At 54.4% G+C, this 12,007-nt stretch overlaps 1 long non-coding RNA gene across 1 annotated transcript in view, besides 4 other annotated features; it reads left to right on the top strand.

Annotated features, from left to right (window-relative positions):
- LOC729732 (uncharacterized) overlaps window positions 1-12,007 on the top strand; it is a 128,533-nt gene that overhangs the window by 55,833 nt on the left and 60,693 nt on the right. The window contains exons 3-6 of the long non-coding RNA NR_047662.2: window positions 1,789-1,856; window positions 2,253-2,488; window positions 7,925-7,992; window positions 8,381-8,621. This is a non-coding gene — a long non-coding RNA (uncharacterized LOC729732). The remainder of the gene's footprint in view (window positions 1-1,788; window positions 1,857-2,252; window positions 2,489-7,924; window positions 7,993-8,380; window positions 8,622-12,007) is intronic.
- Window positions 8,139-8,408: a silencer, noted in NCBI's record as "silent region_18948". NCBI's record gives its function as "represses an Ori minimal core promoter by ATAC-STARR-seq in GM12878 lymphoblastoid cells {active_cell/tissue: GM12878}" and the evidence as "EXISTENCE:reporter gene assay evidence [ECO:0000049][PMID:35858748]".
- Window positions 8,139-9,104: a biological region, named in NCBI's record as "Sharpr-MPRA regulatory region 3896".
- Window positions 8,205-8,499: a silencer, noted in NCBI's record as "tiled region #3896; HepG2 Repressive DNase matched - State 24:Quies, and K562 Repressive non-DNase unmatched - State 9:DNaseU". NCBI's record gives its function as "represses a minimal TATA promoter and a strong SV40 promoter by Sharpr-MPRA in HepG2 and K562 cells {active_cell/tissue: HepG2 | K562}" and the evidence as "EXISTENCE:reporter gene assay evidence [ECO:0000049][PMID:27701403]".
- Window positions 8,320-9,104: an enhancer, noted in NCBI's record as "H3K27ac-H3K4me1 hESC enhancer chr8:12458184-12458968 (GRCh37/hg19 assembly coordinates)". NCBI's record gives its function as "activates a minimal SCP1, AML or CMV promoter by ChIP-STARR-seq in naive H9 embryonic stem cells {active_cell/tissue: H9 hESC(naive)}" and the evidence as "EXISTENCE:reporter gene assay evidence [ECO:0000049][PMID:30033119]".

The raw sequence follows: 12,007 nt of genomic DNA, 5'->3' as shown, positions 1-12,007 counted from the left end.
CTAGTGCCAGTTCAGAGCCTGTGTCCAGTGGTCTTGCACAGGTCCCATTAGTTCTTTTTCTCCTATTCAGTCATCCTGGTAAAGGCTGTGTATTCCCTTGGGGACAGGCTGGGAGAAAGATTGACAGTATAAATTTTTGGCAGTGGAGCAGAGTCCTTTCTGGAGGGGACCTGGCTTCCCATTCAGACAAGGGACTCCAGGTCTGTGAACTGGCTTATGTCTGGGAATTGACGGGGGACTGTGACTCTGTTTTTATGATTCAGATTAGACTTCTGCTCACCTGACCTAGAATTCTTCTTCAAACACAGATCAAGTAAAAATGTGGCAGGCTTCTTATCTATTTCAGTTCTAGGAAAGCCACGATCAGCCGGCACCATAGGTCTCTGCGAGTCAGGCTATTCTGGTTGCAGCTTTGACTCTGCTGTCTTTTATGGTAACTGCATCCACCTTGCCTTTGGGGATTGAGTGCTCTGATCACTTGACCCCAGCCCCTGTACTGTGCGTATGTCACTTACCCTCTTTATACCTCAGTCTCCTCCTCTATAAAATGGGCATCCTCATTGCACCCACCCCCAGGGCTGCTGTGAGGTATAGATGGATTAGCATATGGAAGGTAATAGAAGAGGGTCTCAAAGCCCATGTGTCGTTATCAGAATTATTTCGTGACAGGGGAGAGCTGGAGGAGAGAGGAAGGTGCTGAGCAGACCCACGTGCTCTCCCACCAGTGTTTCCTGAGCACCCACTATGTGCTGCCCACTGTGAGAGCTGTTAGGGTTGAAATAGGGAGAACAGCAGGATAGGGGCTGCCATCAGGAGCTTAGTGGGGAGACCGTTGTGCAACATGGTTACAGTGCTTGGGGTGGGGAAGCCCAGGGACTACAGGGGCCTAGGATCCAGGGCAGAATCATGGAAAGGACACAGCCGCCCCAGCCTCCCCTGCCTCCCCTGCCTCCCTGACCTCCTCTGTTCCCTGGCCTCTCCTGCCTTTCTGGCTTCCCCTTCCGCCCCGGCCTCCCCAGTCTCCCCTGTCTTTCCTGCTTTTGAGGTGGGCCAGGAGCTGCTGGTGCTCACTTAGCCTGTCCTGGACTCTGGGTGTAGCACTTCGATGTCCAGAAAATACCCCCGGGTTCAGCTTATCACACAGCCAAGAAAGGAGCTCCACACTGACACTAAGGGTGCATCCTGGGCTCATTCATCAGGGCATGCCTCCAAAATATTTCTCCACGTCTCCTCCCTTTGCCCACCTGCATTGTCTCTGTGCCTCAGCCCCGGCTGGGGGCCTGCAAGGATCCTCTATCTCCTCTGCCCCTGCACGGCTGGGTCCCAGGCAATCTGTCTGCCCACCACACCTCTCTCCTGTTGCCCACCACGCTCCAGCCCCACAGTCCTCTTTCTGCTTCTTTCCCAGCCTCTGGGCTTTTGCACACGCTGTTCCTTCTGCCTGAACGCCCTCCACTGTGCTGAGAACAACTCTCTGAGACCTCTCTCAGCTGTTGCTTCCTTTGGAAAAGCCGCTGCTGCTGTCCCTCTCCCAGCTCAAAGACCTGCTGAGCCTCCTGTCTTTTTCAGTTCCCATGCCCCCAGCACTTCTCCTTGGCCTCCTTTGGCCCAATTGACAATGTCCATTCTCAATGCCTTCCCACCCAGCGCTGAGCCCCACTTGGTGAAGGCAATGCCTGTCATGTTCACCACAATATCCCCTCCCCCATCACCACGACTGGTCCACAGTGATGCTCAAAAAAGATCTGTTGGTAGGCAATGCGAAGGTGCATTCATGTCATCCTGCAGGCGGAATTCTCCACGAGTTTTGAGCAGCCTCGGGTTTCCCACCACCTCCAAATCATGGAAGACACAGGGTAAGAGCAAAGACAAGGTGGCTGTGGCCGATGTCCACCCTCTCGTGGCGTCCCTTCTCTTCTCTCCTCCTTGGGCAGGGAGACCATCGGGGTGCAACCTGGCTGGGGCGGGGAGGTGGTGCAGGGCATTGCCAGAGCGGGCCTGTCCATGGGCAAGGGACAGCGACCTCCTGGGCCAGGACATGTGACAGCTGCGCAGGCCTGGGCCCGGCGTGGCAGAGGTGCGCGAGAGCGGCCAGAAGAGGGCGCCAGAGAGCCAGGCGCGGCCCGCGGAGGAGCCCGGGCCGGCCCCGATACCCAGCTCCGCGCCGCGCGGACCCACCGAGCCCGCGCTCAGACGCCCCAGCTCCGCCGAGAAGCCGCTTGAGCCGGGTCCTTCTTCTTCCCCAAGTTCAGGCAGAGCCCGCGGAGCCATGGCCAGCCCTTCCAGCAGCTCCGAAGCCACTGGCAAGCCGCGAGGCAGGGATGGCAGTCCCAGGATGGGGGAGGAGGACGTCCCTCCCGAAGAGAAGAGGCTGGGGCTGTAGCTGGAGGGGGGAAGCGCACAGCCCGAGGACTGCGAGGACGGGGAGGACCCGCCGCTACCGGGCAGGAAGGAGACCGGCACCCAGACAGGTGGCGACGGCAAAGGAGTAAGTGATGCGGGCGCGGGGGTCCGGGAGTGCCGGGGGCTCGGGGGTGCCGGGGACGCAACGAAGGGGCGTCGGGAGGCTCCGTGGCCGTCCCCGGGTTGAAGTTGGGAGTGCAGCCTTCATTCTGAACCCATTTAGGCAGCACGGGCAGCCCTCCTCGCCATGGGCAGGATCAGAGCCCCCCCGCCCAGTCTTGGGGTTGCTCCTGGATGCTGTCTGGGAGGCTTGCTCATGGTGACATCCTCATCTCCCCGTCCACGTTACCGCATTCAGAGCTTGGGTCACCTGGACACTGAACTCAGGTGAATTTTCTCTGAGATCCCGGGAGAAGGAGGACAGTTCTTTGGAAGGTTTTCCAGGGCCGATCACGGAAAGGATGAGAAGGGAGAGGTCCTGGTCGGGGACACAATTATGGTGGCAGTGTAACGCCGGGAAACTTTATTGCATGAAGTCCCTCTCACTCCCTCTACCTCCCTCTTTTACGTGGACTCTGCCAAAGACCAGGATACCAGAATGCGGTGGAGAGGCCAAGTGTAGTGAGACCTTGGGAATGCGATTCTGGAGCCAGGCGGCTGGGGTTTGCATCCTGGTTCTGCCCCTCCTTAGCTGGCTGACATGGCACAAGCCACTTACCCTGTCTGAGGCTTACTGTCTTCAGTGGCAAATGGATCTGTCAACAGGCTCCATTGCCTGGGGTTGTTGCTGCTGAGATTAAGGGAAGCTCGTCCATAGAAGCACTTAGCGTTGTGCCTGGCACATAGTGTATGGTGGATAAGTGGGACTTAAGACTAAAACTCATGCCCTGATGTGTTTTTGCAGTGATGTTTTGTTCTGGAGTACGTCACAAGAGACAAGGTCCTTGGCTGGGCATGGTGGCTGAAGCCAATAATCCCAGCACTTTGAGAGGCCGAAGGGGGAGGATCGCTTGAGCCCAGGAGTTTAAGACCAGCCTGGGCAACATGGTGAAGCCTCATATCTACCAAAAAAAAAAAAAAAAAAAAAAAAAAAAAAGGCAGTTATGGTGGTGAGTGCCTGCAGTCTCAAGTACTTGGGAGGCTGAGGTGGGAGGATTGCTAGAGCCTAGAAGGTCAGGCTGCAGTGAGCTGTGATCATGCCACTGCACTCCAGCCTGGGTGACAAAGTGAGACCGTTTCAAGGAAAAGAGAGAGAGACAGACCCACAAAAGTCTTAAGCCAGAATCTCCATGTTAAAATGCTTTCTGGAGGCTAAAAGGATGATATGTTGATAATGAAATGTTTAAAAGGCAGAAACCCCACTGAATTGTTTGGTCCACAGAGGGAAATGGGAATAGCATGACCTGAAGGATGATGGAGGAACTGAACAGAAACCATCCTTGTTTCCTGAATCTGAACATGGCACGCTCTTTTCACGGTGCCTGTATCTGCTCAGTCCGGCAGCCCCTTGAAAAGAGGGAATCTTGATTTTCAAACTTAAAATTTGGCCCAAAGCTCACTGCTGCCCACAATGCCCGCCAGACACATTCCTCTTCCCTTTTAGTTCCTATGGGAATACTCTCTTTGAAGAACCCATGAAGCAGTGTCAGGCTGGTACGAGGATCAGCAGTGATTTCTTTGAGGAGGAGAGCCCGTTTCTTCACTCACAGGCCATGTCTGAGTGGATCAAGAAGAACAGAGTGCCCTTTTATGAGATTTTGTCTGCGTAGACCACTAGCTTGGTAAAAATGTCAAAACCATCCTCGTTCTTTAATAACAGATTATTTTGGACTTTTCTCTGCAAGAAGCAGCATGGGCATTCAGATGCTTTTAAGGATAAAATGTTCTTTCTCATCACCAGGACTGGTGCTCTGGATGGCTGAGGTTTTAATGTGACTGGATGTCCCTTGGAGTAGCTCCCAGGCTGTGCTCTTGTGGTTGGGTGGCAAGTGGTTGCTTTATTCGGTGGTGGCTAGAGGATGTTTTAGCAGATAAATCGGGACCCCAGGAGCCCCTGAGTGTCAAGTCCTGCTGCAGGGCATGTGTTTATGGTGGGGAGGTGGGGGAGGGTGGAAGGGGGGGCATTGATTTCCTCCCAATATCAGAAGTTTCACAGGCTTCTTGTTTATCCACAAACACCCACCCCATTGAGAAGGCCTAGAAAATCTGCCCCTCCTCAAGCCTTTATTGACCGCTTGTGAATGATCCCAGTGTGTGTCTGACCCACAGCTCCTCCTGGAGGGAGAGAAAAGTCTCTCCTAGGTATTTGGTTGTCCACCTCAACCACTTGCTGAGTCTTCCGCAAGACCAGGCACCTCGGCAGAGATTTCTGGGTTGTCAGGCAGAACCGAGCATTCAAGGGTGATAACTCACTGGAGTCCCTGAAATCCCTGATGGACGCACCAGGTAAAAGCATCCAGGGTTGAAACCAGATCAGGAAGGTTATTGTCAGCCTGGGGCTCCTGTAGAGGTGCATCCACGTTGCAGGGATTTTCCTTCTTGCTGAGGAGAAACCTGGGTTTCTCAGCTTTGGCACAGTCAGAATATTTGTGGTGAGACCATTCGTGGTGCTGGTGGTGGGGCTGTGCTGTGTATTGAAGGATGGTTAGCAGCATCTGTGGTCTCCATCCTCTAGGTGCCATTCTACCCTCCCTGCTATGGCTACCCCAGACGTCTCCAGATGGTTTCAAATAATGTGGGGCAAGGGAGCGGTACGTGAGCAAAACCACCCCAGTTGAGAGCCATTGGTCCACAATTGTATAAATGTTTGAGGGTGAGAGTGTCGAGCTTGGGTCCCTGCTGTACCCTTTATGAGCAATGGGGTCTTGGAAAATTAATACTACTCCAGGGGCCTCAGTTTTCTCATCTATAAAATGGAGATAAATGAGATACACTTTGATAGGAAGGTTATATGGGATTCACCGAGATAATAAGACAGTACATGGAAAATGCTGCGCATAGCATTTATTTATTTTAATTTTTTTTTAAGACAGAGTCTTACTCTGTTGCCCAGGTTGGAGTGCAGTGGCATGATCTCCGCTCACTGCAATCTCCACCTCCTGGGTTCAAGTGATTCTCCTGCCTCAGGCTACCGAGTAACTGGGACTACAGGCGCGCGCCATCATGCCCATCTAATTTTTGAATTTTTAGTAGAGACGGGGCTTCACCATGTTGGCCAGGATAGTCCGATCTCTTGACCTCGTGATCTGCCCGCCTCGGCCTTCTCAAGTGCTGGGATTACAGGCGTGAGCCACCGTGCCTGGCCAAACATAAACTTACTTTCTTACCTCTTCTGCTGAACTCTATTTGCTTCTTTTCCCATACGTCTTTATCCAGAAGAGCTTTTAGCAACAAAGTTACCCAATGCCCTTCCCTAGTCTCTCCTTGCAACTGGCTCTCAGCAGGGGGTGGGAGGAAATTCTTGACAGAACCAATTTACATGACTGTTTTGGGGACCCATTCTAGTCCCAGGAGGTGTTTACACTTTTAAATTGGTTACTAGTGTCAGAATGTTTCATGAGTAAGAGCCCAGGCTCTATGTCGGATGCCCTGAATTTGAATCTCAGCATTGCCGCTTTGTATATAACCAGAGGATGGATTTGGGGACCCAATGGACCTACCGTGACATGAACTTGCACCAACATTCACCTGACCTCCAAAATGCCTATTCTGACTGGTAGACCCTAGTCTCGCCCTAGTGCCAGTTCAGAGCCTGTGTCCAGTGATCCTGCACAGGTCTCATTAGTTCCTTTTCTCCTGTTCAGTCATCCTGGCGAAAGGCTGTGTATTCCCTTGGGGGCAGGTTGGGAGAAAGACTGACAGTATAAATTTTTGGCAGTGGAGCAGAGTCCTTTCTGGAGGGGACCTGGCTTCTCATTCAGACAAGGGACTCCGGGTCTGTGAACTGGCTTATGTCTGGAAATTGACTGGGGACTGTGACTCTGTTTTTATGATTCAGATTAGACTTCTGCTCACTTGACCTAGAGCTCTTCTGCAAACACAGATCAAGTGAAATGTGGCAGGCTTCTTATCTATTTCACTTCTAGGAAAGCCACGATCAGCAGGCACCATAGGTCGCTGGGATTCAGGCTATTCTGGTTGCAGCTTTGACTCTGCTGTCTTTTATGATAACTGCATCTACCTTGCCTTTGGGGATTGAGTGCTCTGATCACTTGGCCCCAGCCCCTGTAGTGTGCGTATGTCACTTACCCTCTTTATACCTCAGTCTCCTCCTCTATAAAATGGGCATCCTCATTGCACCCACCCCCAGGGCTGCTGTGAGGTATAGATGCATTAGCATATGGAAAGTAATATAAGAGGGTCTCAAAGTCCATGTGTCGTTATCAGAATTATTTCATGATGGGGAGAGCTGGAGGAGAGAGGAAGGTGCTGAGCAGACCCACGTGCTCTCCCACCAGTGTTTCCTGAGCACCTACTATGTGCTGCCCACTGTGAGAGCTGTTAGGGTTGAAATAGGGAGCACAGCAGGGTAGGGGCTGCCATCAGGAGCTTAGTGGGGAGACCATTGTGCAACCTGGTTCCAGCGCTTGGGGTGGGGAAGCTCAGGGAGTTCAGGGGCCTAGGATCCAGGGCAGAATCATGGAAAGGACATAACCTCCCCAGCCTCTCCTGCCTCCATTGCCTCCCTGGCCTCCTCTGCTTCCCTGGCCTCTCCTACCTTCCTGGCTTCCCCTTCCACCCCGGCCTCCCCAGTCTCCCCTGTCTCTCCTGCTTTTGAGGTGGGCCAGGAGCTGCTAGTGCTCACTTAGCCTGTCCTGGGCTCTTGGTGTAGCACCTCAATGTCCAGAAAATACCCCCGAGTTCAGCTCATCACACAGTCAAGGAAGGAGCTCCACACTGACACTAAGGGTGCATCCTGGGCTCATTCATCAGGGCATGCCTCCAAAATATTTCTCCACGTCTCCTCCCTTTGCCCACCTGCATTGTCTCTGTGCCTGAGCCCCGGCTGGGGGCCTGCAAGGATCCCCTATCTCCTCTGCCCCTGCACAGCTGGGTCCCAGTCAATCTGTCTGCCCACCACACCTTCCTCCCCTTGCCCACCACGCTCCAGCCCCACAGTCCTCTTTCTGCTTCTTTCCCAGCCTCTGGGCTTTTGCACACGCTGTTCCCTCTGCCTGAACACCCTCCACTGGGCTGAGAACAACTCTCCGAGACCTCTCTCAGCTGTTGCTTCCTTTGGAACAGCCGCTGCTGCTGTCACTTTCCCAGCTCCAAGACCTGCTGAGCCTCCTGTCTTTTTCAGTTCCCATGCCCCCAGCACTTCTCCTTGGCCTCCTTTGGCCCAATTGACAATGTCCATTCTCAATGCCTTCCCACCCAGCGCTGAGCCCCACTGGGTGAAGGCAATGCCTGTCATGTTCTCCACAATATCCCCTCCCCCATCACCACACCTGGTCCACAGTGATGCTCAAAAAAGGTCTGTTGGTAGGCAATGGGAAGGTGCATTCATGTCATCCTGCAGGCGGAATTCTCCACGAGTTTTGAGCAGCCTCGGGTTTCCCACCACCTCCAAATCATGGAAGACACACGGTAAGAGCAAAGACAAGGTGGCTGTGGCCGATGTCCACCCTCTCGGGGCTTCCCTTCTCTTCTCTCCTCCTTGGGCAGGGAGACCATCGGGGTGCAACCTGGCTGGGGTGGGGAGGAGGTGCAGGGCCTGGCCAGAGCGGGTCTGGCCACAGGCAGGGGACAGCGACTGCCTGGGCGGGGGCAGGTGAGTGCAGCGCAGGCCAGGGCCCGGCTTGTCCGCGGTGCGCGCGAGCGGCCAGCAGAGGGCGCGAGAGCCAGGAGCGGCCCGCGTAGGAGCCCGCGCCGGCCGCTATGCCCAGCCCCTCGCCGGGCGGACCCACCGAGCCCGCGCTCAGACGCCCCAGCTCCGCCGAGAGGCCGCTCGCGCCGTATCCTTCCTCTTCTCCAGGTGCAGGCAGAGCCCCCCAGCCGTGGCCAGCCCTTCCGGCAGCTCCGAAGCCACTGGCAAGCCCCGAGGCAGGGATGGCCGGCCCAGGAGGGAGGAGGACGACGTCCCTCCCGAAGAGAAGAGGCTGCGGCTGTAGCTGGAGGGGGGAAGCGCAGAACCCGAGGACTGCGAGGACGGGGAGGACGCGCCGCGGCCAGGCAGGGAGGAGACCGGCACCCAGACAGGTGGCGAAGGCAGAGGAGTAAGTGACGCGGGCGCCGGGGTCCGGGGGTGCCGGGGGCGCCGGTAGGGGCGGCGGGAGTCTCAGTGGCCGGCCCCGGGTTGAAGTTGGTATTTTAGCGGCAACTCCGAAGGGCGCGGAGTGACAGCGCGTGACGGCCTCCGAGACGCCAGCTGCCGCTTCTCGGCTGTGTGGCTTTGACTTCCTGATTCTCCCACGACGTCCCTGGCTGGGAGACCCGCTGGACTCTGCGGCTGGCCAAAAAGAGAGGGGCAGCCCCGCGTCCTGGGGGCCCCTAGCAGGGGAAGTGGCGGGTGTTGCGCTGGGCATCCTGTCTGGGGCATCAGTCTGGGACCCTGTCGGTGCCTCTCACCTGGCGAGGGGCCTGTGGTGGGGTAGGGGGGAAGTCCCTGGCGCCAGGCTTGGCCAAGCCCTGCTCTGCTGGACTGCGGGCTGGCGGCGCTCACCCAGCTCCTCACCCGTCCCGCATCTTCCTGTTTTTCTTCCCTTTCTGGTTGGGCAGCAAGAGTTGAGAGGAGGCAGATGGCTTCCATCCCAGAAATCGCTCTCCTCTTTCCATCCCTACAGAGAGGGACAGAGAGGCAAAGTTCCTTGCATCCCCGGGGCGCTGTCCCTGTGAGCTCCCGGTGTCCTGCAAACGTTGGCCCCTGAATCACCGGGCCAGTGTGTGTGGGATGGGGCTGCATAGCCAGGCTGGCCTCCTGGGGTTCACTTTCGGCTTTCCTACCCCAACTCTTCCTGTGTGGCTTTGCTGGCCTTCCACTGGGGAGGCATGTGGGTTTGGAGGGCAGATGAGAGCCCGCTGGAGAACTGTACCCCTCAGTGAGGGCCGCCACCTTGATGGTTTTTAATGGATAATGGGGTTGACCTCTTTGTTCCTTCCACATGTTTTTATGTTTGACCATTTGCTCAGCTGAGCTTGTCTTAATAATTGGATTCATGGTTAATGAGCCCCACATGGGAGAGAGGGCGGCCTTCATTCTGAACCCATTTAGGCAGCATGGGCAGCCCTCCTCGCCGTGGGCGGCATCAGAGCCCCCCTGCCCAGTCTTGGGGTTGCTCCTGGATGCTGTCTGGGAGGCTTGCTCATGGTGACATCCTCTTCTCCCCGTCCACGTTACCGCATTCAGAGCTTGGGTCACCTGGACACTGAACTCAGGTGAATTTTCTCTGAGATCCCGGGAGAAGGAGGACAGTTCTTTGGAAGGTTTTCCAGGGCGGATCACGGAAAGGATGAGAAGGGAGAGGTCCTGGTTGGGGACACAATTACGGTGACAGTGTAACGCCGGGAAACTTTATTGCATGAAGTCCCTCTCACTCCCTCTACCTCCCTCTTTTACGTGGACTCTGCCAAAGACCAGGATACCAGAATGCGGTGGAGTGACCAAGTGTAGTGAGACCTCTGGAACGCGATTCTGGAGCCAGGCGGCTGGGGTTTGCATCCTGGTTCTGCCCCTCCTTAGCTGGCTGACATGGCACAAGCCACTTACCCTCTCTGAGCCTTACTGTCTTCAGTGGCAAATGGATCTGTCAACAGGCTCCATTGCCTGGGGTTGTTGCTGCTGAGATTAAGGGAAGCTCGTCCATAGAAGCACTTAGCGTTGTGCCTGGCACATAGCGTATGGTGGATAAGTGGGACTTAGTACTAAAACTCATGCCTTGGTGTGTTTTTGCAGTGATGTTTTGTTCTGGAGTACGTCACAAGAGACAAGGTCCTTGGCTGGGCATGGTGGCTGAAGCCAATAATCCCAGCACTTTGAGAGGCCGAAAGGGGGGGATCACTTGAGCCCAGGAGTTTAAGACCAGCCTGGGCAACATGGTGAAGCCTCATATCTACCAAAAAAAAAAAAAAAAAAAAAAAAAAAAAGGGCAGTTATGGTGGTGAGTGCCTGCAGTCTCAAGTACTTGGGAGGCTGAGGTGGGAGGATTGCTAGAGCCTAGAAGGTCAGGCTGCAGTGAGCTGTGATCATGCCACTGCACTCCAGCCTGGGTGACAAAGTGAGACCGTTTCAAGGAAAAGAGAGAGAGACAGACCCACAAAAGTCTTAAGCCAGAATCTCCATGTTAAAATGCTTTCTGGAGGCTAAAAGGATGATATGTTGATAATGAAATGTTTAAAAGGCAGAAACCCCACTGAATTGTTTGGTCCACAGAGGGTAATGGGAATCGCATGACCTGAAGGATGATGGAGGAACTGAATAGAAACCATCCTTGTTTCCTGAATCTGAACATGGCACCCTCTTTTCACGGTGTCTGTATCTGCTCAGTCCAGCGGCCCCTTGAAAAGAGGGAATCTTGATTTTCAAACTTAAAATTTGGCCCAAAGCCCACTGCTGCCCACAATGCCCGCCAGACACATTCCTCTTCCCTTTTAGTTCCTATGGGAATACTCTCTTTGAAGAACCCATGAAGCAGTGTCAGGCTGGTACGAGGATCAGCAGTGATTTCTTTGAGGAGGAGAGCCCGTTTCTTCACTCACACGCCATGTCTGAGTGGAACAAGAAGAACAGAGTGCCCTTTTATGAGATTTTGTCTGCGTAGACCACTAGCTTGGTAAAAATGTCAAAACCATCCTCGTTCTTTAATAACAGATTATTTTGGACTTTTCTCTGCAAGAAGCAGCATGGGCATTCAGATGCTTTTAAGGATAAAATGTTCTTTCTCATCACCAGGCCTGGTGTTCTGGATGGCTGAGGTTTTAATGTGACTTGGTGTCCCTTGGAGTTGCTTCCAGGCAGTGCTCTTGTGGTTGGGTCGCAAGGGGTTGCTTTATTCGGTGGTGGCTAGAGGATGTTTTAGCAGATAAATCGGGACCCCAGGAGCCCCTGAGTGTCAAGTCCTGCTGCAGGGCATGTGTTTATGGTGGGGAGGTGGGGGTGGGGGTGGAGGATGGGGGCATTGATTTCCTGCCAATATCAGAAGTTTCACAGGCTTCTTGTGTATCCACAAACACCCACCCCATTGAGAAGTCCTAGAAAATCTGCCCCTCCCCAAGCCTTTATTGACCGCTTGTGAATGATCCCAGGGTGTGTCTGACCCACAGCTCCTGCTGGAGAGAGAGAAAAGTCTCTCCTAGGTATTTGGTTGTCAACCTCAACCGCTTGCTGAGCCTTCCCCAAGACCAGGCACCTTGGCAGAGATTTCTGGGTTGTCAGGCAGAACCGAGCATTCAAGGGTGATAACTCACTGGAGTCCCTGAAATCCCTGATGGATGCACCAGGTAAAAGCATCCAGGGTTGAAACCAGATCAGGAAGGTTATTGTCAGCCTGGGGCTCCTGTAGAGGTGCATCCACGTTGCAGGTATTTTCCTTCTTGCTGAGGAGAAACCTGGATTTCTCAGCTTTGGCACCGTCACAACATTTGGGGTGAGACCATTCGTGGTGGT

This window comes from Homo sapiens, chromosome 8 (assembly GCF_000001405.40).
Source record: "Homo sapiens chromosome 8, GRCh38.p14 Primary Assembly".
Classification (NCBI taxonomy): domain Eukaryota; kingdom Metazoa; phylum Chordata; class Mammalia; order Primates; family Hominidae; genus Homo; species Homo sapiens.
Note: the sequence above shows the minus strand (reverse complement) of the source record. Positions and strands in the feature narration are given on the sequence as shown.